General features: G+C 38.0%; 2 long non-coding RNA genes across 3 annotated transcripts in view, besides 1 other annotated feature; one reads left to right on the top strand and one right to left on the bottom strand.

The window, feature by feature from the left end:
* The window catches only part of GNAO1-DT (GNAO1 divergent transcript), a 98,108-nt gene that overhangs the window by 54,152 nt on the left and 15,970 nt on the right, over positions 1–27,986 (top strand). The window lies entirely within an intron of this gene.
* On the bottom strand, positions 200–27,954 carry LOC102725116 (uncharacterized). Of its 2 annotated transcripts, none has more exons than NR_188608.1 (5): positions 26,704–27,954; positions 24,996–25,135; positions 11,907–11,969; positions 4,648–4,713; positions 200–296 (listed from the first exon to the last, which is right to left on the bottom strand). It is a non-coding gene; the product is annotated as an uncharacterized LOC102725116 (long non-coding RNA). The 2 variants fall into 2 exon arrangements; NR_188609.1 differs by having other exon boundaries at positions 27,108–27,954.
* Positions 23,257–23,758: an enhancer, noted in NCBI's record as "NANOG hESC enhancer chr16:56147097-56147598 (GRCh37/hg19 assembly coordinates)". NCBI's record gives its function as "activates a minimal SCP1, AML or CMV promoter by ChIP-STARR-seq in naive H9 embryonic stem cells {active_cell/tissue: H9 hESC(naive)}" and the evidence as "EXISTENCE:reporter gene assay evidence [ECO:0000049][PMID:30033119]".

The following is a 27,986-nucleotide window of genomic DNA, read 5'->3' as shown; positions in this document are numbered from 1 at the left end:
AACCACTTTTGTTTGAGGATACCTTAGTAATTCATTCTGGAGGTCTCAGAAAATGAACACATTTTTGTCATTGGAGACTCCTTAAGAAACTCTTCCCTCTCTCGCCTTTTAAAATCCCTTTATCCGTGTTAACTCTATTTTTTTCCATGAGTTCCTAAGCTCTAAATTGTACATGGGTGTAAAAATGTACTTTACAGCATTCAACAGCGATTTTTTATTTGACAGCTAGGATCCACTTCTTAGACGAAATAGTTTTTCTATTCCACAGTTGGATTCTATTAGAGATGTTGGTGACCCTTTGAGACAAACCAGATATGTAAAGTTATTAGCCTTAGGGATGACTTTAAAATGAGAAATGGCATTATATTCTCTAAATAATTGCTGTTGGTTCTGTGTTTTATAAACATCATGGGTATGTAATAACCTATTAGCTGTTGCTTGCTATCATCCTGCCTGCAGGGCCAATGGTGAGGGGCAAGCATGGGAAGATTTGGTTGACAGATAGTTCTGAATGGGAAATTAAAATCCTGTATTTGTTCTTGAATCTGCTTCTAATTTTCAGTGTGGCATGGGGGAAATATATTAAATCCCACTATGTGTCAAGTTCTCACTCTGCAGAAAGGAGAGTGATACAGCATCTACGGGTGGTTCATAGGGAAGGTAACGCCTATGTATGAATTACGAGGAAACTCAACCTAATATCATACAATGGCCCTGACAGTTGGGCTTATTAGTGTATGAAATGGCCATGGGGAGAGATTCATTTGGCAGAAGGCCCCTGCCCATAGCTTTTATTCATGATTATGAGAGTCAGGCTAGGTCTCCCAGTCAAAGACAAGCTTGGTTCCTATGGTTTTGACATTGATTGTGAGTCAAAGACTTATCTCTGACTGTTACCGTCTCCCCACCTTAATTTTGCAAAAGAAACATGTCCCTAGTTTATTCAGCACTCTCTCACTCCACCCCTGGGTATTCCTCCTGAACATGTGTTATTACAATTTCCAGTCTGTATTCACTGATTTTATAGTGGCAATAGTTGTTGACTTATCTTTTGCTGGGCCACTTCTCTTGTTACCTGCCTTGGTTTTTATTTTTCCCCAAACATATAGAATATATTTTCTCCAAACAGTACCCAAATGCCAGATTGTCAAAAGGAAGTTGACAAGAGTATGCTGTGCTACATACTGTGAAAGGAGCTAATCAAAGCAGCTTTTTAATTGCTATAGTAATGATTTAGATGTGCAAAAAAATACTCAAGTTAAATTTGCATGACTAATTAATTAAGCAAAGCTCACAATTGACAAACATAATTAGCACATCCAAAATTGAAACCACATTCTGATCCTTTTAACTTGGTGCCAAAAAAAAAAATGTGAAGTGCTCAGCACCCCCTTCTTTACAGTATCTGTAGGTCCAGTTGCCAATTCTCATATTTAGGTTTGTTATACATGGAGCATAGTTAATTGCAAAAACATTCCTGAAGATCTTACTTTTTTTAACCAGAGAATTCTCATGAGTTTTGGCATATTTGTTCAATCCTTTAGCAGCTAAATTTATCTAATAGAGTGAAACTCTTAAACAGGGAAAAGGAGATCTGCCTATCTTTCTATCTATCTATCTATCTATCTATCTATCTATCTATCTATCTATCTATCATCTATCTATCTTAATCTAATCTATCTTTCATTTATTCATCTGTCTTCCTATAAGTTGCTGTTAGATCAGCTTTAATGGTACATACATGTTTTATGTGGGAAAGTGGTTTGATCTGGAGACATGGAAACCTATATAATGGTAGGTCAAGTTACCATGGAGCTTCATTAGTAGAGATACATAACAGCATTCTGTGGCAAATCCATAATTCAGAGTCTCCTGGAGTCCTTGCTGAGCTAAAGCCATGCTGTGTCTGAGGACTTAGGGAAAAATCCTTCCTCCAACTCTCTCCTACTCATGACAGCTTGTGACATGGTTTGTTACTTGGCTACCAAAGTGGAATTGCTGTGTTCACAGTAACATGGGGAAAAGTCACTTCCCCTGTAGCCTGGATACCCTTTCTCCTCCCATAAAGCTAAGACCTCAGTTGGACCAAAGATCAATATATGGGTCAGGTATCGTATTCTGCTTCCCATGGCCAGTTTCATCCTTTGAATTATCTGGAAAACCAAGTGTATATTTTTAATTAATCACAGCACAAGTGTGGCAAACCTCCTTTGGTGCAAATTGACTCTTGAAGGTCCCATCCACCAGTGCAACACACTTCATGCATTCATGGACTCAGTGCTGATTAAGGGACTGCTATGTTCCAGACACTCTTCTAGACACAGGTCAAATATCTAGATACTAGACTGGACCTGTCACTCACGCATGTGTTGGTATACACACAGATCATTCATGTGTAGGACTTCATTTCCTCTAAATTTCCTTTTAATGGAAGAGACTCAGTCTGTGTAGCAAGTAAGAATTTTTCATCCATGATACACAGCAAGAAGCATTATATAATTATAATTGTGAAAATGTTAAAAAATACAGAAAAGTGCTAGGGACAATACTGTACAATACTTATGTAGCCATCAAATAGAATTTCCAGATGACATGTTATATTTACTTCATTTTTTTAATCAAGAAAGTAATATTTTACTGATAAATCTTTGATCTCATCCTTTCTCATTCTCATTTCCTTCCCTCTGTTCTTTCTAAGAAGCACCACTATGATTATTATGCTGTGTAGCCATCCACTATATCTTTTATATTTTTACTAGATATAGAATATGCCTAAAATATATAGAGATTGCTTTTATACATTTTAAAAATTTGACATAAATTCTATCATAATACACAAATTGTCCTTTTTTTTGAGCTTGATCCATTTTAGTGCATATACATTTAGTTCATTTTAACTATGGTGTATTATTCCCTTGTGTGTGTTTACCTCAATTTCTCTTTCCTTCTTCTACCTACAGACATTTAGAGTTTCCAGTAGTTTTTCCTATTACAAACAAAGCTTATGAGGACATCCATGAAAAATATTTATTTACACACTTGGGGAAGAATTTTCCTAAAGTATATATCTAGATGTGGAATTATTGGACTGAATATTATCTACATCAAATTTATTAGATATTGTTCTCCAAATGGTAGGGTGCTTCTACCAACAGTGTATAAGAATCTTCCTTCTTACCAATACTTGACATTCTCAGACTTTTTAATGTTTGCCAACCTGATGCTTTTCCCTGACTACACATGAAGTTCAGTACATTTTCCCATGTGCCTACTGAGCATCTGAAATGTAGCTGCTTTGAGTTGTGCTGGAAGTATAAAATACACACCAGATTTTTAAAATTTAACATGAAAAAATAATGTAAAATATCTAATTAATAATTTTGATATTGATTGTATGTTGAAATGATAATAATTTGGATACATCAGGTTAAATAAAATAAATTATTATGATTAATTTCTCCTGGTACTTTTTACTTTTTAAAATGTGCCTACTAGAAAATTTAAAAATGCCTATGCAGCTCTTAACTCTTAGTACACTTCTATTGGATAGCACTGGGTTAGAAATTCCAGTATAATGTTGAATAATCATGGTGAAAGTAGACTTCTGTGTTTTGTGACTACAGTGGAAATCCTTCTACAGATTCATCTGTATTTCTGAGGTTTACTTTTGGTGTTTTGTAGTTACTCTATTAGATTGAGGAGGTCTCTGCTACTCCTACTTTGATGAGAGTAATGATAATGAATGAAGATTAAATTCTATGCGTCAACTATGTATTAGGATGATCATGTCATGTAGTATTTTCCTTTAATTTTTAGTATGGTCAAATATATATGTATTTTAGTATTTAGTATGGTCAAATATATATATACATATATAATTTTTAGTATGGTCAAATATATATACACACACACACACATATATATATATACATATATATATATGTCAATGAGGAACTATCTTGGCATCCTGGGATAAACTTACCTAGCCATTTTGTACTTTTTATACCCTGCTGGGTTTCATTGGCTTAACTTTTCTTGGGAATTTCCCATTTATATTCGTAGATGAGATTGTTCTATAATATTGATTTTTTTTGTACTCTCCTTATTGGCATTAAGTTCACTACAACTGCTGCCTCTAATAATCAGCATTTATTGAGTACTTAGTAGTGCCAGGGGCTTTCATGCAGTCCCTCATTGACTACCCCCACCAAACTTATAAAATAGATTTTATTCTTATCCTCATTTTATAGAGGAAGAAACTAAGACACGGAGGGGATAGGTAATGTGCCTAAGGGTGGCACTCCATTTTGAACAAAATGGTAGACTAGTTATCCCAAGAAAGCCCCCCAATTTGAAACTTCTAAAATGCTGGATAAAAAATAATTTTTTAATCTTAAAATAAGTTGTGAACCTGGAGAGAAAGTTGAGGAAAGCCTCAGATCCCCTTGTTTTCATCCTTTGAGCTTCAATTTTCATAGACCTTAAATGGGGAGCAGGAGACAAACCTGAGGTCCCCAGCAAAGTGGAAAATTGGATTAAAGACCTCCAGGATAAATACAGGACCTTGAAAAATGACCCATGCAGTGATTAAATTGGAAAAAATATCTACCCCTCTTGTATTCTGAAGATAGGCAGAAAGGAAATTACCTTGGCTCCAGGTAAGTGGGTTGGGTGATAGGTTGGGGAAAAGTCCAGGGCTGGCATTGCTGCATACTACAAGTTTTAAAAGAACACTTTCAGAAATGAGCATTTTCACTGTTAATTCAGTTCTAAATCTTTTATAATTCCATTATCATTTCCTCTTTAATTCTTGATTGTATAAAAATGCAATTTTTATTTCCAAACACAGGGGTGTTTTCATTTTTACCCTCTTTTCTTGTTGGTCTTAGTTTAATTGGATTGTGATAAGCAGAGTATGCAAACTGCATGCTATTGATTTTTTGAATTTTGTTGAGACTTACTTTGCTACTTAGCAATTAATTTTTGTAATTATGCCACATACATATGAGAATGTATATTCTCTATTTTGGGGGGGTAGTATTCTTTTGATGTATATGTCCAATAGATCATGTTTGTTAATTGTGTTTCTGATTCTTCATCTGATTTATCTATCATTGTCTGAGAAAGTTGTCTTAAAATCTTTCACTGTGAATGTGAATTTATCCAATTTTCCTTGTAATTCTATCAGTTTTTCATTTAGGTATGCTTAAGCTGTATTAGCAGATGCATACAAGTTAATGATAGTTATATTTCTTGTAGACTTTAAAATATTGTTTTAAAGTGAAGCTCTTTATCTCTGGTAATGCTTTTAGCCTTAAATTCCATTTAATCTGCTATTAGCATTGCTCACTAGAATTCTTTGGGTTGGTATTTGCCTGGTCTATATTTTTTCATCTTTTTATTTTCAATCTTTCCGTATTTGTTTTAGGTGTGTCTCTTGAAAGTAGCCCATCACTGGTGTTTGCTTTTTTATCCATAGTTATGGGAACTTTCTGGATTAACTGAGTTTAATATGTGTCCATTGATTATGATTAATGACATAGTTTGGCTTATTTCTACCATCTTATGTTATTTTCTATTTTTCAAGCTTTTTACTTCTTTTTTCACTCTTTCTTCCTTTATTTTGGATTTATACATTTTTATTATCCTTTCCCTTGCCTCTACCCCAGTGGTTTGAAAACTTTAGATTCTATTTTTTTATTTCTTCACATGTTTAACATGCACTGTAAGCTTTCTACTTTGTCTATAGTTTTTTCAGTTTCTCTATTCTTCTTTTGAATAAAACAAGGAATTTACCAGGTACCAAACTTAAGTTATCCAGAGTCCCTTCTTTCATCTGCCATTTTATTGTTATATAGAATTTAGTTTTACCTGTTTTAGAAGGCACAAAATCAGTTGTTATTATTATTAACAACCAATACATAAAGAGATATGCCGATACATTTTGTTAATTTATTTGCTAATTATGCTCCTTATATCCCACTCCTTCCTTCTGGGTTCATTTTTCTTCTTGCTGAAGTATATCCTTTCATGACTTACTGCAGTGAAAAAAAAAACACTGGTTTTGCTCCATATATAATTCTTGTTATTTCCCTTATTACTTGGAAGCTATTTCCCCACTGTCCGCTGGCGTCAATTTACCAATGAGAAGTAAGCTTTCAGTCTAATGACTGGCTCTTTGTAGGTAATCTGTCTTCCCTCCTGGTAGTATTTAGGATTTTCTCTTTATCCCTGCTGTTCTGAATTTTCAATATGAAATGCTTAGAGGTGGATTTATTTTTGTTTTTCTGTCTCAGCAATTGATATAAACACTCAGTCTGAGGGCTCATGTCTTTCTTTACTCCTCAGCCTGAAATATTTTTGGCCATTCTCAGCCATTATTTCTCCTGATGGTGCCTCTCTGCCCCTTCCTCTATTCTCTGCTTCTGGAATTACATAAGACACATGTTGGAGCTTCTCCCATTCTTTTATATTTTCTGGCCCTCTATCTTTTTATAGTAATTATTATGTTTTAATTTTGAAACATTCTGAAATTTATGTGTGCAAGTTATGTACAAGTAACTTCCCTTTCCCAAACAATTTGAGAGTAAGTTGCTGATCTGATGCCCTGCTACCACAGAATACTTTAGTGTATATTTCCAATGTACACATTTCTCCTACACGATTGCAATACAATCATCAAAATAAAGAAATTAACACTGATATATTACTACCACCTAATCCTCTGATCTTGTTACAGCTTCACTGATTGTCCCAATAATGTCCATTACAGAAAATAGGTCCAGTTCAGAAACATGTGTTGTGTTTAGTTGTCAGATCTCTTTTAATCCCCTTCAGTATGAAAGATTTTTTTTAACTTTAATGATCTTGATGTGTCTGAAGATTTGTAGACCAGTTATTTTGTAGAATGTTTCTCAGTTTGGGTTTGTCTGATGTTTCGTCATGATTGGGTTTCGGTGATGCCTTTTCGCAGGAGAATCACAGAATTGATGCTGTGTCAATCATGTCAAAATGTCTTACCAGAGGTGGTGTTAAATTTCATCACATAGCTAAGATGGTGTCTGCAAAGTTTCTCTACTTAAAAATTATTATCTTCCCCTTTGTAATTAGTAAGTACCTTTGGGGGAGAGACTTTGACTCTATGCAAATATCCTGTTTCTTATCATAAGCCCAATAATTTTAGCATCCATCAATAGTTCTTGCTGCAGCAATTAGTATTCTGATGTTTGCCTACTGGAGATTTTCATATTTTTGCCTTATTTTCTCTGTATTTATTAGTTAGAATTCTACTATAAGAGCTATTTCCTCCCCCTGTTTATTATTTATTTCTAAATATTGTTAAAATTTATTATGGTAAAATATGTATAACATAACATTTGTCATTCTAACCATTTTTAAGTGCATGGATCAGTGGCATTAAGTACATTCACATTGTTGTGCGACTATCACCACCGTCCATCTCCAGAACTTTTTCATCTTCCCCAGCTGGGAATCCACACCCATTAAACACTAACTCGCTATTTCTTCATCCCCTAATCCCTGGAAACCACCATTCTACTTTTTGTTTCTATGAATTGGACTACTCCAGATACTGCATATAAGAGGAATCATTTAATGTTTATCTTTTTGTGATGGGGTTATACCCTATTTATTTAATTAATTATTTAGATCAACATGGACTCATGACTATTTTATTCTATGGATTATAATCCAATACTATTATTATCATCTTTATTGTTACTCAAATTGTCAGCTTTGGCCATTGAGAGCTTTAGCTATGGGGAGCTCCTTCAGGTTAGCTTCTGTGTCCTTTCAACAGGCCCATCATTTTTCTGAGCACTTCTTTGCGCTCTGTCATCCCAAGATATTCCAGGCTCATTTGTACTTTTCCTGTCCCAGCTCTAGAACCAGCCACTTCTCCAAGGAGCCCTTGTACTTTTCACTGGAAAATGTTATTTAGAGACCAAGATTTGGGCACCAGGTATTCTTATTGCTACTGGTGTCCCTTTTTCTAGGCTCTCTCAAAGTGGACAGAACAAGGAAACATATGTATGCATTCAAATGCATGCATATACATACATACACACAGATATATGTATCCATCTGTGTGTGTGTATATATATTATATATATATATATATCTTACAATCCATGAGTTTTTATGATGCCTCTAATTCTAACACCACAGGGTTTGTTCTAGCCACTCTCCTTTCCTAATTTGTTTTTTTATTTTATCTCTATTTTCAGAGACAGTCTCTCACTCTGTCACCTTGGCTAGAGGGCGGTGGTGCAATCACAGCTCACTGCAGCCTCGAACTATTGGGCTCAAGCGATCCTCTTGCTTTAGTCTTCCAAGTAGCTGAGACTACAAGCATGAGCCATCACACCCAGCTACTTTTTAAATTTTTTGTAGAGAGGCAGACTCAGTCAAGCTATGTTGCCCGGGCTGATCTCAAACTCCTGGCCTCAGGAAATCCTCACGCCTTGGCCTCTCAAAGTGTTAAGGGTTACAGGCATGTGCCAGCACACCCAGCTTCCTTTCCTCATTTGTAACTTCTTTCTTGGTTCTTGTGATCTACAAGCTGTATATTACCATGAAGCTTTACCATGGTTCTAAGAGTCAGAGGTGTACAAAAGGTGTATTCAGGCCGGGTATGGTGGCTCATGCCTGTAATCCCAGCACTTTGGGAGGCTGAGGCAGGCGGATCACCTGAGGTCAGGAGTTGGAAACCAGCCTGGCCAACATAGTGAAACCCCATCTCTACTAAAAATACAAAAATTAGCCAGGCATGGTGGTGGGCGCCTGTAATCCCAGATTTTTGGGAGGCTGAGGCAGGAGAATCTCTTGAACCGAGGAGGTGGAGGTTGCAGTGAGCCGAGATCGCGCCACTGCACTCCAGCCTCGGTGACAAGAGCAAAACTCCATCTCCAAAAAAAAAAAAAGGTTTATTCAGAGGAATATTGCTCCCCCAGTCTTACTACTATTTCTCATGCCTTTTTTCTCCTTATTCCCACCTACAACTGTAAAGTAACCATGTCATTAGCTACCAGTTTATCCTTCCTGTATTTCTTCTGCACAAAATAACAGATATTTTCTTAAATCCCTTTCTTTCCTACGTGAAGCATACTATAGATACTCTTTTTTGCACTTTTGTTGTTGTTTGAAATTACTCCGTATCAATTTGTAGAGATCTTCCTTATTCTTTTTCTTTTTTTTTTTGCAGCTACAGTATTTCATGATAGCTTTTCAACTACTGTCCTGTGGATGGGCAGTTAGAGTGTCTTCAATATTTTGTAATTACAATATTGCAATGAATAATCTTGAGAATATGTATTTTTGTGTTGTTGGAGGTATATGTTCAGATTAGATTCCTAGAAGTGGCATTACTCAATCAAAAGTTTTGTGCATGTGTGGTTTTTTTAGATAATGTCCAAATTCTCTTCCAGAAGGGTGGCATCTGCTTGCCTTCCTACCACCAGTGTATGGGAGTGCTTGTTTCCCCACAGCCTTGCCAAAAGAATGTGTTGCCATGCTTTTAAAATTTTTTTTACCAATCTAATAAATGAGAAATGGTATTTCAGTGTTGTTTTAATTTGCATTTCTCTATGAGTTTATTTTTCAAACATTTAAGAGCCACTTTAGATTGTGTGTGTGTGTGTGTGTGTGTGCGTGTGTGTGTGTGTGCATGTGTGTGTGTGTGTGTGTGGTTGCTCATGTTGTTCTTCCATTTTTCTGCTCTACTTTTGGTCCTTTGTCTCCTGATTTTTAATAGTTATTTATTTATTAGGGATATTAACCCCTTGTCTGTGGTATATGCTGCAAATATTTTCTCCTAGTTTGTCAAAGTCTTTTGATTTGCTTACGGTGTTTTTATTTTTTTCTTTTGCCATACAAAAAGTTTTATGTAGTCACAATTATTAATCTTTTATTGCTGCTGAGTTTTGAATCATAGTTAAGAGCCTTTCTTTAACCTGTAGATTAAATGGGAACTTAGAGGCTTTATGGTATGTTTGACTGTCTGATGGGGCTCTTTCTCCCTCCCCATTCCACCCTCATTGTTTCTCTTTTTCACCATTTTTCTGGCTATTCTTAAAGATTTGTTTTCCATATGGACTGTAGTTTCAATTTGTCTAACTCCTTAGAAAGCCTTGTTGTTATTTTTATTGGAACTGAGTTCAATTATAAATTAACTTAGGAAGAGCCAACAAATATGCGATGCTGAATCATCCTATCCAAGAATAGAGGATATTTTTGCTTGTGTTCAAGTCTTCCTTGTGTCTTTCAGGAATGTATGCTATTTTATTTTACTGATTTTAATTTCTGTGTCAATTGTTGCTATATTTTATTATTTATTGACCTCTTATTATTGGTGTCAATTTTCCAGATTATCTTAATCCTTATTTCCATTTCTTAGTAATCTATGCTCCCATATGCCATGTACAGTTCTATAGTTAATACAATTTCATTTTCATCGTCCTTGCTCCTCATTGTAGATTTTGTAAAAAGGCCACCTGGAAAAGAGTCTTAATGGGGACACTGGCCTTGGTTGGGGAATCCTGGGCAGGAGCTATAACCTCCCTGGCAGGGCTGGGATGAAGTTACAGTAGTCTTAAGTGAAAGACCTGGTCAGCTACACAGGAATGAGGCCTTGCTAAGAACACAGATCGGGCTTCTTTGTAGACTAGCTCATAACAAGATTCAATTGGTGGCAGCTTGAGATTTGAGAAAGTGGGAGAATAAGACTAGATAAATAGGCCAGGGCTAGGGTGGTGAAATAATGTAGTAGAATGAGTATGGACTTTGGAGTCAGTCTGGGTTTGAATCCAACTCTGCTATTTCCTGGCAAGGCTATCCTCAGTTTCTAATGTCTGATAGATATTAATAGTACCTAACTCAGGGTTGCTGTGGTGATTAGAGATGGTGCACATGAAACACTTAGAGTCTGTTTGATATAGATAACAATATAGACCTATAGATATGTGAGTCACAATATAACATAAAAATCACATCACATAGATCAGACTAGAAAAGACTGTAATTGAACATAAGCCTGTGACCTGTAACTGGGATTCTTCTACTCTCCCTTCATTGTCCTGGAACCATGATGAACCTTTCAGGCTTTGGTGGGAGGTGGGGAGAACAGCTGGTCACTACCCTACAGGTTTAGGGCTGTGTCTAGGATCCTGTGGTTTCTAATATTGGGCACAAAATTACAGGCTTAACAGGGGTTTTGGTGCCCCCACAGAGCTAATGGAAGATGAATCCTATGAGTTTGGGGTATCTTATTCATAGGCATACTGTTCCCTGGGGATCCTTCCTTTCTGTGGTCTGAGCTTTTGATAGAATTTTTAACAATTTAAGCTGCAGGAAATTATTGTAGCTTTGGCTGATGAACAACCCATGGTGTAGGAGGCAGAACTGAAAAAAGTAATGCTTTGATTTATATCCTATTGGCTAAGAATTTTGTCATGTACAGAGGAACATGGTGGGAGTGGGGTTAGAGACAGCTGGATGGCTGGATATTGGGTCATCTTAATATCTACATAAATAGCTAATGTGACAAGATTTCAGATAGGGGATTAAAGAAATGATAAAACTTGCAGCCCAGGAGGGGTCACAGGGCTGTAGCCAATTCTCTACTAGGGGTAGCATAGAAGCATACAGAGCTGGGGTTTAGCTTAGCAAAGCTACTAAAGTATGATAGAAAATGCCTGGAAATCCCAGGGATTCCCCCTTCAAAGGCAAAAATAAAAGGACTCTCATTTAGTGAATGAATGTAACTCCTGCTAACAGTGAGAAAGTAAAGGGAGAAGGAAGGACAAAGGGAGGAAGAGCTGAGAGACACAATCCATCAACCAAGTGAAAAAATAGGAAGGTCAAAAAGTCAACATTAAGTTCTATTTTACCTGTACTTAATTCAAGGCATCTGGTCAGCTTATCACTGGAGACAGAGAGAGCACGAGAGAGCACTGTGAATAAATCAAATACATTGAGAACTTCCATCTTCATGTTAACCATTCATTTCATCTGCCTTCTCTATCCCATAAGTTTTAGTAGATCATGTGGGAAGTTAAATTTTACTGATTTGAGTTTCATCTTTTTTTAATTTCCTCTTCCCTGCATGTGAAGAGGCCAGTGAACCTTAAAATAACCAAATGGCAGAAAACCAAGGGAATAAGGACAAGCTTAAGTGCCTGGCCTAGATAATTAGTCTTTGAATAATCAAGAATGGGGTGCATTATAATCTTCATATGGGCACAGTAATTAGGCTTAGAGGGTTTCAACTATGATGTTATAATTTATGTATGTAAGTGTGAAGTTGGATAGTTTGGGGACAATTTAGTTTTATATTTAGCAACAAAAGAATTGATCCTGCATTTTCTAAACATATAAACATCTGAGTCCCTGTTTCTAGAAGCTCTCAAAGGATGAAACAAAAGCTTAGAAAGATGGCTGCAGTGACCACAGGTGCTCTGTTGCTTCACTCAGGGAGTCCTTCACCTGCATCATTTTGAATGCATATAGTGTCATCTCCGGAAGTAGCTTTCAGATTCTCTGTTTTGAGTCACAGCTGACTCCCAATTATAAAACTAAAAGCAATTATCTGGGTTCTCACCGTGCATTTAAGATTATAGTTTTATGTTTATTTATTTAAAAAAACACAAACTAGGCAAACAACTACTTAAGATGCAGTGTGTGCTCAAACTGATTTAAAACAATAACAGCAGGCATATCCCTTGCGATTTTCTAAAATATTCCCTTTCTTCTTCTGCAATTTGAATCCAAATGTTCAACTTTGATTTTTGTCTTTTCTAAGTGTTGTACCTTTCTGGGCTCTTTGTATACTAGAGATGAAGGGAAAGAGAGAATGAAGAATCCCAAACTATGACATTTTAAAACTCAAGTTTAAGAGTTAATTTGGTTAGCAATTAAGATTTCTATTTTGTTAGAACAGAAGTTACAAGTTTGATTGTTAATTAAAGCACCCACAAAATGGAATCTCTACTTCTCCCAAACAACATCTTTATTCATTTATTAGGTACAGAATGTGTTTGTGATTCTTTAGCTCCTACTATAGGTTTTAGAGAACCCAGAGAAGGTAATAATCATGTCAACTATCCTTAAAATAAAAGAGACCAGATGAAATACAATTGAACAATACAGATATTCCTTAATTAGTTGAAACTCTTTACATTAATTAATTAATGGAAACCCTTTTGCGGCTTGGATAAGGAAGAATATTTATAATATTTTAAAATGTCATATTATGTTTAGAATAAAGCACAAAATTAAAAATACCACAAACATAACACAGTAACTGAAACTCTTTACAGTAGTGCCATCAACTTTACCATTTATCACAATGATTCTAGCTGAAAGGTAGAAATTCCTAAAGCCTTGGTGATTTTCTAACAACCCCAAGCTCTTTTGAAATAAAGTCTAACATTCACACTCATTATTTTCCATCCCTTAAACTCTCTGGACTTAGTAGACATCTTGGTACTGTTCTAATATTTAATTCTTACACTTAATTTGAGTATATTTTAAAACTTATCTTCCCAACTAGATTATAAGCTTCTTAAAAATAGGATCTGTGTGTTCAACTTAAAAAAAACTTATACAGCATCTAACAATATACCTTAGTACATTAGAAGCCTAGCAGATAAATACTTCTTCATCAATTTCATTGCTAACGTTTAAAATAATGTCATATACTTGAAAAATTTTATATTATTTAACTGTATGATCTTAAGAAGTTTGCACTATTCTGAAATGTGATTGCATTATGTTTAGGAACTCTTTTCCTGGGTAAATGTGTTCTATTAACTGAGAGACAGCTGTATAAATATGCTCTTCCCACCACTAACACATGCAGAGGCAAAAGCAAATGTAATAGTGGAAATGATGGAGAATGGGGCAAGCCTATCTCTTATTTGCATGAATTAAAGAGGTTTCATGAAGAGGTGGACATTGGTAACTGCACAGGTAGCTAGCAACATAAGCTTGTTTTCCGTGTCAGAGCATACATAGAAGAGTAAGAGAGCTGGCTGGGTGCAGAGGCTTATGCCTATAATCTTAGCATTTTGGGAGGCTAAAGTGGGCAGATGGATTGAGCCCAGGAGTTCAAGGCTAGCCTGGGCAACATAGCAAGACCCAGTCTCTACCAAAAATACAAAAATCAGCTGGGTGTGGTGGCACATGCCTGTAGTCGCAGTTACTCGGGAGGCTGAGGTGGGAGAATCGCTTGATCCCAGGAGTTTAAGACGAGCCTGGGCAACACAGAGAGACCCTATCTCTACAGAAAAAATAAAAAATCAGCTGGGTGTGGTGGTGAGTGCCTGTGGTCCCAGCTACATGGGAAGCTGAGGTGACAGGATCACTTGAGCCCATGAGTTTGAAGCTGCAGTGAGCTGTGACTGAGCCACTGCACTCCAGCCAGGGTGACAGAGCGAGACGCTGTCTCAAAAATAAATAAATAAATAAATAAATAAATAAATAAATAAATAAATAAAGGGTAAGAGGGCTTGTATTTTAAGCAGCAAAATTAAAACTCCTTTTTCTAGTTTTCTTGGCTTAGAGATATGAAAATTTAGAAGGTATGGAAATTTCCTGCTCCCAAAGACATTTATCTCTCAAGCCTTACTACAGTATTATTGATTTCTCCCTTGAACTCTGATTATGAGGGTTAGGGAGAACTAGTATTTCTACAGACAAAATTAATCTCCTAAATAAATCCAATGTGTACCTTCTGGAGTGGTATGGGGAAGGGGAAGACAGTGTTGTTGGTATTAATATAGTAAATGCCTTCTCTAAGCTGACTTGGGAAGAGACAGGATGTCAGCTACTTCATCCTGAGACTAATTTTTATTCCCCTCCTTTAAAGAGTATTTTAGGGCAGGGCTTTTGCACCTTGCAGCAGTTGCAGGATAAACCAAGTGCCCTGTGGGCATAGGCAGGAGAAACGATGGTGGATCTCACTGGGAAGTTGCATGAACTCTCCCTTCCACCTTCCTCCATTAGAAAAAAGTCAGTTGTCTTAATATCCACTATTGTTAGCAGCCTCGGAGTGCAGCTCCATTCAGAAACTTCTCATCTTCCTGTTGCCACTGTGACCTGCTAGTCAATATCAGCTGCTGGCTCTGGGCATTAATGGAATTGTCAGTTAGTAAAATCACAATGATCATCGCTGTCCAGGTCAAGCTTTAAAATAAACGTGCTTAATAAAAATAGACCATATATATATATATATATATATATATATATATATGATTTATTGGCATAATAATATTCTTTAAATATGTTTAGCATGGTCCTATAACACTTCATCTGCTCCTCTATTGTGGCTTTTTATTACTTTGTGTCCTGTGTTATAATGTCCAAGTCTCATCACATCTACCAGAGTAAGCCACTCAGGGTGAGTGTGCATATTTCACCCTTCTTTATATTGCTCCCAGGCATTAGGATGGTGCCTTGCATTTAGCTGGTTTGCAATAAATATTAAATGCATGAGCAAACTAGTAATCATTACTGATACTTAAGTCACATCATTGAGTACAAAATACTGTAGCTAGTCTGGCGGACAAACAGGAGATGTGCGAAAGTGCCAACAGGTTCTGCTTTCTGTTTCTTTGTGCATGGCCATAAAGCCACATGGCATTTCAGGAGTGGGTGTGCCTCCATTTTGGTTAAGAGGGGTGAAGAATGGTGGTTTGCTTCCTCTTTTGCTTTTAGTGACTGTCATGATGATACTCTAATTTTTCTGACCTTAATAGACTAATAGGGACCACACCATAATTCCAGGTGTTGCTTTGGGGTTGTAACTGGTAGTTCATTTACAAGTGAGATGTGGACTGTTCTCTTCCAAATACACTTACATCACACCTGTCATTCTCCTCTCCGCTCCTGCTCTAAGTTGGTTCATGCTGACTTGGCATTAAACTACCCAGAAGTGCTTAGGGTTGACTGCATCAGAGATTTATTGCTTGCTTGTTCTTCCAGATCATTTATAAGTGTTGAATCATGTCAGTGCTCACATCCATCCCATATGGACTTCACTCTAATACTTATTCATCTCAAGAAGCCTTGATTTGTTCTTATTCAAGTTTCCCTTAGAGGTCAGGTTTAAAGAAATAGTGCAGAAGAAGTGTGTATCTTGCATCCCATATTAGACAAAGCTCTGTTCCTATGGTTCGTGCTTGCTTTTCCTCTGTTAGAAAAAAAGAGATCTGCATTCTACAAAAATCCAGCCAGGGCAGGGCGAGTTGTCTGGGATTTTCTGTAATCTAATAGAACAAGTTTAATGACTCAAGAGAGGCCTGCTGTATATTGCAGCTCATGGCTCATGAAAAGATATAGTATGTTAATTTTCTGAACTGGGTCTCTGAGGCTGAATTAGATTATTTTTGTGATGTCTTTCCTGCAGTTATTTGAGCATCCAACATCTTGAATGCACCAAAAGAAGGGAATCCCTGGATATTAGTGACCAACAGAACCTTATCCTCTATAGAGGAAATTGGCTAGTGGATGTAGAGTCTTAATGCTTTGGGGTAAAATAAAAATACTTTTTACATGGGCAGCACACTTCTCCCCTACTAATAAATGTGAGAGTGAACATCATGACCCTCTCCTTTGAGAAGACTTCAGTGCTCCTCATTTCTTCAGGATGAAGTCCAAACCCCTTCACACAGCATAGAGGGCCTTTCACCCTCCAGTGCCTGCCTTCCACCTTCCACTCCAACCTTATCACACCACTTCCTCCCACTCTTCTCTCCATTTGGACTGGATGCCTTTCAGGATGCCAAAAGGCCATATTCTTTGTCCCCTTTGGGCTTGTCTATGCACAGGCTTTCTGCCTGGAATATTACCTGTCCTCTCCCCACATCTGTCTCACTATCAGTAATTACAGTAATAGTAGTTATGTTCTGTGTTAAGGAGGGCTTGCATGGATCCTTTCATTGAATCTTTACAACAACCCATGAGCACTGTAATTATTCCCATTTCACAAATAAGGAAACTGAGGCTTAGCAAGCTTAAGAGCCCTACCCAGGCTCACACAGTTATTAAGTATAGTACAGGGAGTTGAAGCTAAGTAGCCTGACTCCAGAGCTTGCTCTAGGCTGCGGTGCCTCCTAGCACTGAGCTACACATAGTCATGTGGCTAACTCTTACCCATTGTTTAGACATCACTTGCTCCAGAAAACTTTCCTGGCAGGTTATGTGCCCCTCCTGTGACTTTTATTTCTCTCTTTGCAGCACGTACAATATAACACCCCTGTAATTGCTTGTTTACTTGTCTGTATCCTCCACAAGCTTCAGAGGCCCCTAGGGGAGGACCTAGTCCGCCCCCTTGCCATTTTATCCCCAATGTCTACTGGGAAGCTTGGCATCCAGTAGGAGCTCAGTACATGTTTGGGGAATAGGTGATCCTTTGACTAAACTTAGATCCACTGAAAACCCTGCACAATTCTTTTGGCAGGAAAAGGTTAATTCTAGTCTTACTGATTCCAGACTTTAATGGAGGAAATAATTGACAGCTTCTCCTTTTTGCGGGGACTACAGAATTTTGTGACTAGACTGAGACTTTCTTGTGGTTAACAAGGCCTAGTCATATGAGTCAAGGTTATCACTCAGTCAGACTTTTGCTCACTCCAACTACCCCTCTTCCCCCTTAAATTCTTGAGATAAACCGGGAAGTGGCTTGTTGCTTTACAGAAAGATTCACCAAAGGATTCTCATTTGTCATTTGTCTTACTACCTAATATTAGGTTGGTGCAAAAGTAATTGCAGTTTTTGCCATGAAAAGTAATTGCAAGGCCAGTTGTGGTGGCTCATGCTTGTAATCCCAGCACTTTGGGAGGCCAAGGCAGGCATATCATTTGAGGTCAGGAGTTCAAGACCAGCCTGGCTAACATGGTGAAACCCTGTCTCTACTAAAAATACAAAAATTAGCTGGCCATGGTGGCAGATGCCTGTAATCCTAGCTACTCAGGAGGCTGAGGCAGGAGAATCGCTTGAACCTGGGAGGCGGAGGTTGCAGTGAGGTGAGATCCTGCCACTGCACTCCAGCCTGGGCAATAGAGTGAGACTCCTCAAAAACAAAACAAAACAAAAACAAACAAACAAAGAAAAGTAATTGCAAAACTCTGATTACTTTTGCACCAATCTAATACCATATATTGAAGCTGGAAGAGACACTGGACTGTAGCTCACCCAGCCCTTTTTAATTGAGAGAAAATTGAGGCCTATAGAGAGGCTCAAATTCATCCACTAGTTAGTGGCCAAGTCGGAGATATAATTCACATCTTTCACTTAAATAATGAGCTTATTTGATGCACTTTCACAATGTGATTACTTTACAAAACTTTTTTTAACCTTCACATTGATAGGAATAAATGTGTTGTTTCTAAAGCAACACATAACTGTGTATAATTCATCTGAGATCAGCAGTGCAGAAACAAGAGAAGGTTTTTTAAAAAACTTTTTGTTGAAGCCTAACATTCAGAAAATTGTGTGATGACTTTTTCTTTTCTTTCTTTCTTTCTTTTTTTTTTTTTTTTTTTGAGACAGAGTCTCACTCTGTCAGCCAGGCTGGAGTACAGTGGCACGATTGTAGCTCACAGCAGCCTTGACCTCCTGAGCTCAAGTGATCCTCCCGCCTCAGCCTCCCAAGTAGCTGGGACTACAGGCACGTGCCGCCACACCTGGCTAATTTTTTCTTTTGTTTTCTAGAGATGGGGTCTCGCCATGTTGCCCACGCTGGTCTCGAACTCCTAGCCTCAAGCAATCCTTTCACCTCAATCTCCCAAAGCTCTGGGACAAGTGTGAGCCACTGTACCTGGCCCTGATGAATTTTTATAAAGTGAATGCACCCATGTAACCAGCACTCAAGTTAAGAAATAGGGCATTGACAAAGGGAGATGTTTAGTATTGAATATATAATTATTTTTAATAATGTATTCTCACCTAAATCTGTTCTACAAAACTTATTATAGCTTTATAATAGTAGGAGGTCATTATTGGGGGGTGAGGAGGAGAGGGAACTTTTGAGATGACAATTTCATTCCCATGTCCAACTCTCACAACTTCATAAGACAGTGTTTAAGGCATAAATTCCTTAGATTTTGTGTAATAAAGATGCAGCTTACTATTGGCTATTTGTTTGCAAAATTAACATGTCATCAGGCTGATATTGTAGACTCATGAACAGAAATACTTGTGTGACTCTAACTCATATTCTATAGTGCTCAAAAATCTACTTAGGGCATTTTTTGATAATTCGCTACATGGGATTTGTAAGCATAGGTGTGTACTTTATTCTTTTTAAAGGAAGGTGAAATCTCAAATCTGTTATCAGTCATGTGTCTATGCTGAGCTGTGATGGGTTTGCATGGAGCTTATTATATATTTTTGCTTACTCTTTTGGCAAACTTGAGTGTATTTCTGAGTGGACTGACTGGCATTAGGATGTCTGACCCTGGAGCTACCCTGTCTCTGTTCTAAGCCAGCTACCCCATGCATTTGACCCCATTCATTAGTACACGCTTTAAATGTCCAAGTCTACATTTTCCAGCAAAGGTTTCTATTCCCAATGTTGGCATTGCCCACAACTTTGGACAAATTATTTAACCTGAAATATTTTCTTCATTCTAATTCTGTCATAATAATAATAAACATTTGGGGAGTGAAACTTCTGCCTAAAATTGGATCAGAATGTTATACTCGTTTGAAAGGCACAAATATGTTCATTGTACATTTCAATTAATAAAGCAGTAACTGGGCAATTTCTCAAAAAGTTCTCATGATCTAAAAAAGTTTCTTAGCCCAACAGATTTTTAATAACATCTAACATCCTAAGAAAGCTTCTTTTCCTATTCCCTATTTCTACTCAAGGATAAAATTTGTCTAATTATTCAGAGGAATGTCTCAACTAACCTCAACCCAAGAAAGAAAAAAAAAGTTCTTACCTGTTTTAAACTTTGTTCCTGCTGTCTGGAATAGCCCCTCCAGCTAGCAACATATTAGTCTGCTTAATTAATATGTATTGTGCCTTCCTCAAGGCCAAGCAGAGTCCAATTATGGGCTTCAGCTAATTTTACCTTTTTTTCTCTTTGTATCTCATTCTGCTTTCCCTTAGCTCCCCGTTAGCCTTATTGGCTCACAACAAAAGCTCAACAGGAGACTAGCAGCAGCATGACAAAATTAAATAGAATGCCACAAAAAGGCCTGGGAATTTGAAAGTTGCCTCTTAACTTTAGCAGGGAAACAGAGTAACCTGGCTGCTGTCTGTGGCTTGGAGAAGTTTGTGTGGCACATGCAGATGATGGTTGTTCTATTTGTTTGCTATTATGAAACACTATTTTTCTTTATATGAGAACCATATCTAAGTGGAGTCACTATGGAGGGTACACATTTCCCAGTAAAGGGAAGTGTTGTCATCCTGTTGACGCCACTGAAGGCTGTTAGGACTATTAATTTTGTTGTTCATTTAGGCATGCGTGGTTGCCACAGCAACAACAATCTCATAGTTCCTTCAAGCCCTCAGTGCAGTGAGCATCTGTTGAGAATCCTACAAAGGTGTCGTAGTTCCTCTCCTTCCTGTCATAGATTGAACCCCTTGCTTGCTTTCCTTGTAAGCTACATATTTATCAAGAATCCCTAGAGAGACAGAGAGAAGAGATTCTTTGCTAGAGCCAGTCAAATGAGAAATCTAAATGAAAATGAAGGCTTTTGTTTCCCGTGGGTTGCTGCAGAAGGCCTCAGAATAAGTGGTTTAGAAGTCAGACGATTATTAAAGATCTTGATTAGCTGAAATATGAATAAGTCCTTGGCAAAATTCACAGCCAATCTTTTATGCAGGGTGGCCAGGACACTGAGTATCCTGTGTAAAGCCAAAATTGTAAATTCTAGCCCAAACTCCCAGTGGTATACAGTAATAAGGTGCAATCTCTTGCCAACTATTTCTCATAATCCAAGACCTTCTCCTTAAGAACCACATAGATTTCAGAATACATGTTTCTTAAATGGACTCATTTCCTCTGTGTGTGTGTGTGTGTGTCTCTCTCTCTCTCTCTTTCTTAACGAGCAGTTGGTAGAGAAAGCTTATGTTTTCAAAAGCATTTGTTGGTACTGATAGACAATCATCTTTGAAGACACTACTCAGTATGAGTCTTTGTCTTTGATTCTGTCCTAATTTATCTCATTTGCAAGTTATATAGTCAGAACTAGAGGAGAGTTACAATTTCTAGATAAATTGCCTACTAACTAAGTGAAAGGAGCCGAGACTGGGCAGGCTGTCTTTATAGCTATTGAGAGGAGGTATCTTAAGTCCTTGTAGAATCCTTATTTGAAATTTACATGTAAATGTTAGGGCACCTGACTGAGCAAGTTTATCAAAACATCATTACAGTTTCCTCCTCCTTCTGTCATTATTCTGATCAAGATGATCAAGAACAGATTTCTGTATTCATTTCTGCAGAGAAGCTTACTCATTCCTCTTCAAAATTCTTTTATCTAATGATACTTATTGTTCAATCATAAGTAATATTTAACTGTAAAATCTTTTACTTGGAGTAAATTATCTTTGGGGTGAATTCAACTAAAGATTCTGTGTTGATTAAGTAATTGTCATTTTTCCTGTTTTGGGTTTGGAGAAGAAATTTCTAGGTTATATACTGTTTTTAGGCAAGAAGTCTGAGCCTGGGTTACTCTGGCTTTCACAAGACATTAGTGTATCCTGAGGGCTTCTTTTTTGCAACTCTTTGTGGGGATTCCTGGGATCGATTTTTGTAAGACTCTTCCATCCCAACCAGCCTTTTTGGTATCTTTTACTTTTTCTTTCCGAGTTCTTCTCTTCATTTTATTTATTTACTTCTCTAGGATCATAAGATCATAGTACTTCTGAGCTGGAAAACACCTCCCAACTTCTCTCGTACATTTCTATCCTCACAACTTGCAATGTTCAACTGTGCTCATGTTGCCTACTTTTAAAAACTCGTATACATAGATATGTTAATAGCCAAGCACAAACCAAACATTTTATTATATCCAATTTATTATACCAATGTGGTTTTAATGAAATAGCTTTAATACAAATGAGAAATTTTTTTTCTAGTTCTAACTCTGATTTTAATTCATAGACTGACCCTGGACAAATCTCTCTAATTTTGCTTGGTCTCCATTTCTTTATCTGAAGATGACAATAGCCTTCTCTCATAACTTATTATCGAGTAAATGAGCTAATATATGTAAAGGCTCCTTGGAATATGTGAGGTACTATGTGTAAGCTATAGGGATACTCATTCATAATGTCTGTCTCTGGAGTCCACATCAGCTTGGTGGCTTTAACTGTGACCTTATCCAAGGTGGCAAAACCCTATCAGAAATCTACAAAAATGTGCATTTTCCTTGACCAAACAATTTCACTACTAAAAATCTATACTACAGAAATATTCATATGTCTGCATACAGTACCAAATATTAACTGAAGCATTGCAATTGAAAACCTGGAAACTTAATTAAATAGAAACTTAATTTTCTATCAGTAGGAAGAAAGTTAAGTAAATATCCATATAGTGGAATACACTGCCATTATAAACAAATAAGGTTGATGTATTCTAAAATTGCATGGAAATATCTTCAAGACATATGTTATATGAAAAAGCAATTCATTAAACAGTACATAGTGTATGATCCCATTTATCCTAAAAAAAAAATGCAAACCCCACACAGAAAGGAAACAAAGCCACACCTATATATGTGAATATATTTGTTTGTAAATTTGTGGTGTCCCTATGTCATTGAGCTTCCCTCTCTTATTGTATTATGTAGTGTGGAGAGTTGAGCTTAAGAATGAGTTCTGCAGTCACAGTGACTGGCTTCAAATCCTGGCATGAAACGTACTATGTGTGTAATTGTGGATAAATCACAATTCTTCCATGCTTCATTTTTCCCACCTTAGAATGGGTTTGGCAGTTTCACCTAACGCGAAAATTTTAAATGCATAGAAAAGAATCCAGAATACTTTTGATTACCCTGAGAGACAGCAGGGTAGCTGGAAATGTGAAGTTCCTTTTAAAGTACTCAACTCTACACAATGCAGATAATACTGAATAAAGCTAACCTGCTTCTATAGGACAGCATGGGAAAGGTCCTAGAGGCTCAGAAAAAAATATAAATTTTGGTAAATGCAACCATGAACTGGAAGGATAGGGAGAAACAGCCATCATCTGGGTGTGTGAGCATCAAGAATATGACAAAGGCTTTCTGGCAGAACTATGGGAAAACCCATTTTCTGAAGAGGCAGAATCATGAAGGGGGCTTGTGTCCCCATCCCAGAGTGGTCCAGTGGTCTCATATGTGGCTTTCCTCTCAGCCTTATCTATCCAGTCCAGCTCATTTCCTCCTGTATTCTACTATCTCTACTGCGGAAACTCTCCCTGAGAAGGAGGCAAACCTTCCCTCCAGGGAGGTCAAGGAGGATTGCACTGCTTTGCTTCATGCAAACAGCTTCCCAGGGAGAGAGCTTTTGCTCTCCTGCTGTGTGAATAGATTGAGGAGTCTCCGAGGCTTGGCAGCAGGTCAGGCCCAGCCAAGCTTCCAGAACCAGAGAGAGGCATAGCTTTTTATCTGAACCTAATTTCTTCTCCAGAAGAGAACTGCCTCTTGTTCTTACTTGAATTTAATCTCCATGGATCACAATTTTGTTTGGTGGATCTATCTATCAAAATTCACAATTCAAGGACTCCTGGTCCTTGGCTGACTCACAGAGATCAGTCCCTTCTCTACAGATGAGGAACTAGGGCTCCAGAGGGTCTAGTGACCAGCCAAGGTCAAGAGGCCACTTGGTGAAAGTGCTGGGCTAGAAACAGTCACTAGTCTTCATCCAAGGTTTTTTCCATCGTACTAACACATATTTATTAGCAATAGAAAAATCTGCTCAAAAATAACTCACTCTCCTAGAAGAAAGATCTCAGATATTATAGGTAAAAGAAAGTATAGAGATCATGTCATATAGGCCTCTGAAAGAAGTTTTAAGTCCTCCCTCCCCTTATTTTGCTTAAAATAATGTCTGTCTTGGCATAGTTGTGAATCCAAGTTGTATTCTACTGGGTGAACCTGTGTGCATGCCTCGGGGTGATGTCGGCTTGGCTCCCTAAAGATTTCAATGGGATGACTCCTCTTGGGTTTTATTCTGTAGTAAAAATAATCTGTGGTGGTTTTGGTTTTCCTTGTCTTATAAGCTAGAGGAGTCAGCCAGGAGGCCACTGCCTTCTGATTTTCTATGTGGTCATTATCCATACTCCATTCAGACCACATTTAAGGCCACTGGATCTCAAATGATCCCTCAGGGACTATTCATGTGGTCATTAGTGGGGAGGTGTGCAGGCAAGCAACACTAACCAAAATATTTCTTCAGAAAGCTCGCATACTTCCAATGTGAATTCACCTCTGAAAGACTGCCATATTTTCTGTTTTAAGGTTCCATGTCCTTTATGTCACTGAACTACTCCTTCTTATTCTACTATGTAGTGTAGAGAGTAGAGATGAAGACAATGGGTTCTGGAATTGGGCTGACTTTAAATCCTAGCTCTGCATTTACTAATGGTGTGATTGTGGATAAATGACTTAATCTTTCTGTTTGTTTCCTATCTGTAAAATGATTTGAAAATCTTATCTAACACAGATGACGATGGGAGAACTAACTAGATATAGTACAGACACACAAGAGAGAGCACTTGGCATGTGGTAGCCACTCAATGAATGTTACCTCTTACCCTTGACATCTGCTCATGCAGCCCAGCATTGTGGAAAGAACATTAGATTGAGGGATCAGGAGACACAGGATCTGTTCTAGGATCTGACTTCCATGCAGCTTCATGAACTTAGGACAGTCACTTGATCCCAACTCATAGAATGCAAGACATGGAAGCAAGTATTTGTTCCAACCTCCTCATTTAACAAATGAAATTGGGTCTTGGAGAAAGGAAGAGACTCACCCAAAGTCCCCAGGGAGTCAATGTCCAGGCCAGGATCAGCCAGCACCACTCTCCTGACTTTTGTCCCATAGTTTTCCCATCATTCCTCTGGAGACAGAAGACTTTGCCAAGTGGTCCAAGCTTTGCTGAAGACCTAAGGACTTTGGGATTGATAGGTAAGTGGTTCCTAACATGCTGTCTTGGGGTTGTGGCCATCTGAGAAGCAGCAGCCAGTGCCTTCTACTATGTCATTGTTGGCATAACTATCAGAAGCAGAGCAGCACCTTTAAGATGCTACTGGGTGAGAGCCACTGCAGTAGCAGTTTACGGAGCACCCAGTAAACTCATTCCAGGCCAATAGGGCAAGGCTGGGTAAGCTCTAGAGCCCAACAGCTTAATAATTGGCTATGTTTCTTCTTTCTCTTTCTTGGCTCCTGCCAGAGACACTTAGAGTGACATTATCTCTATCTTAGGCTATAGAAGTCTCCTTTTGAACTCTCATTACAGGCCATTGTCACTCCTTTCCTTTTCTCCTCTCACTCCCACACAGATTCTGAGATCACAGGCTGACCATATTATCCATTCTTGGGTACACGGCTTTGACCTGCAAGATCCCCTTTCTGTTCCACACTCTGGCCACAGCAGACACTCGGCAAAACTAGTCCTGTACTGATTATTCTAAATATATACCAGGCTTTTGGCTTGGGGACAGTGCATGTATTATGCCTCTCCATTGATTCTTGCTCAGTCCTCACAGATTGACTATTATCGTTTCTGCAGAGCCCATAATTGTCCCCCGACTTAGAAGTGGTCTCCTGTGCCTTAGAACTTGGAACAAGTGCTTGCCACAGGTCCGTAGAGGTCCTACCTCCCTTAACAAACTTCTTAACTTCTTAACAACCATGTACTCAACCTCTTTTTTTTTTTTTTTTTTGGAGACAGGGTCTTGCTCTGTCACCCAGGCTGGAGTGCAATGGCACGTTCACAGCTCACTGCAACCTTGACCTCGTGGGCTCAAGTGATCCTCCCACCTGAGCCTCCCTAGTAGCTCCTTCAGGCATGTACCACGATGCCTGGCTAATTTTTGTACTTTTTGTGGAGATGGGGTTCTGCCATGTTGCCCAGGCTGGTGTTGAACTCCTGGGCTCAAGTGATCCACCTGCCTTGGCCTCCCAAAGTGCTGGGATTACAGGTGTGAGCCACCACACCACTGGGCCTCTTTTTATCCCCCAAAGCATTTAACAGAGTTCCTCGCCCAGTGCAGAAACTCAGTTGGACCTGCTTGAATAACTGTTGGCTGGTTGGTGGAGTTGGAGTAAGGGGCTCAAGACTTAATAAAAGGTTATGTCTTCATAATCCAGAAATACTTTATCCCCAAGTGTCATTGTTAGTCCTTGGTAAATCAGTCAGCCACACATCTTTCTCTAGTTACAGATATTCTAAGGCTTCTTGAAGCCTAGTTGTTAATGCCTAGTTGTTTTGAGAATGCAACTTTTTAGAAATCTGGTGTGACACATTTTTGAAATTAAAGTCAATTAAAATTAATTTTACTCCTTTTTTTTTTTGGTGGCAGAAACTGACAGTCCAAGATGGACAAGCAAAACAATTTACAAACTTTAAAAAATTCAAATAAAAGTTTAAGGATGTTAAAGAAAGGTAGGAAGAGTAAAGGAGCCTGGAGTTTTCACTGATTGACTCACTCATTCACTCACCCAATCAGCAAACATACCCGTGCAGCTTGATTTCCTGCATTTCAGGAGGAAACGGTTGTTATTTAGTTTATGCAAAATTCTGTATAGCCCTCTGCTAGAGCCTTATGCTTCTAAAATTCTGTTTGCTAAAATAGTGTTCAGAAGTAGCTTGTGTTCACAAACCAAACTCAATGTTTCCCTAAGATCAAATTCCCTGCGACAAATTTTATCCCCAAATTCGGGGAAAAAATGAGAAGAATGCAAAGATTAATCCTTGGAGGCCCTTAAATAAGCCTTTCTTTCCCTATTTTCTGTTTGCTTTTTAAGTTTTGTATTCAGAGAGTAATAGGTGAACCCTTCTGTGGCTAATTAAAATACATGTAAATTGAAACCAATGTTCAGGCCAGTAATTAAAGTGAGGTACTCTCTGGGTAATATTTACTTTCTAGCTCCCAGATTGTGAGTTCAGTTCCTCTTCAAGCAGCACTTTTTTTTTCTTTCTTCCTTTTTTTTTTTAATCACAGAGATTAAAGCAGCCTGAATTTACAATAGCATCTTGTGAAAGGAGAGGGGAAAAAAGCTGCAGTGGTTTTAGTAAATAATGCACTTTGATGTCTCCAACTTGAAATCCATATTTTGAGGGCCCTGATGCATCTAAATAGTATTTGGAATAAAATTTTAAGTCCAAAAGCTGGTGCCATTTGCAGAAAAAAATGCCTGTGGAAAGTGAAGGTTAATATTCCTCTCACATCTCACCCTCTGTCTTACAATCAAGTGCTTCCATTCTTCTCTGTGAAGCTTGTATAGGGTACGTGCCACATGACCATGGCATGTCCACTCTTCTTTTGGCTGCTGACCACCAAGTTGTTTATAGCTGGTAAGCTTGGCTTGAGGTTTTGGGCCATTCCTTTATTTTGGGTAAGAAAAAGATAGGAGAAAAAGACTTCTTAGGAAGACCTTGTTTCTATAAAACAATGGAGCCATTTCAAGAGCCCCTCTTTTGACCATTGGAAAAGACAGTGAGATCTAGGTGTAGTTAAGGATTTATGTCTATAGGCTGGACTCTGTTGGTCCCTCCAGTTTGCATTCAGGTTCATCTGCTGTGGTACCACTTTGGAAATTTCATGGACCTTTGACCGTATTCACAAGCTCCTGGGCAGCAAGAAGCTTTGAAATCCAATAAACGTCTAAATCCAAGAATAGATTTCAAAAATTACTTTTCTGCTAAAATCTCAGACAAAATTCCTTTTGTTCCTGCTGTGGAGGCCCTTAGGTCGTACAGGGCATTTGTATCCAGCAGGGTCTCAGGAGCTCTTATTTC

The sequence above is a fragment of the Homo sapiens genome, chromosome 16 (genome assembly GCF_000001405.40).
Source record: "Homo sapiens chromosome 16, GRCh38.p14 Primary Assembly".
NCBI classification, from domain to species: domain Eukaryota; kingdom Metazoa; phylum Chordata; class Mammalia; order Primates; family Hominidae; genus Homo; species Homo sapiens.
Note: the sequence above shows the minus strand (reverse complement) of the source record. Positions and strands in the feature narration are given on the sequence as shown.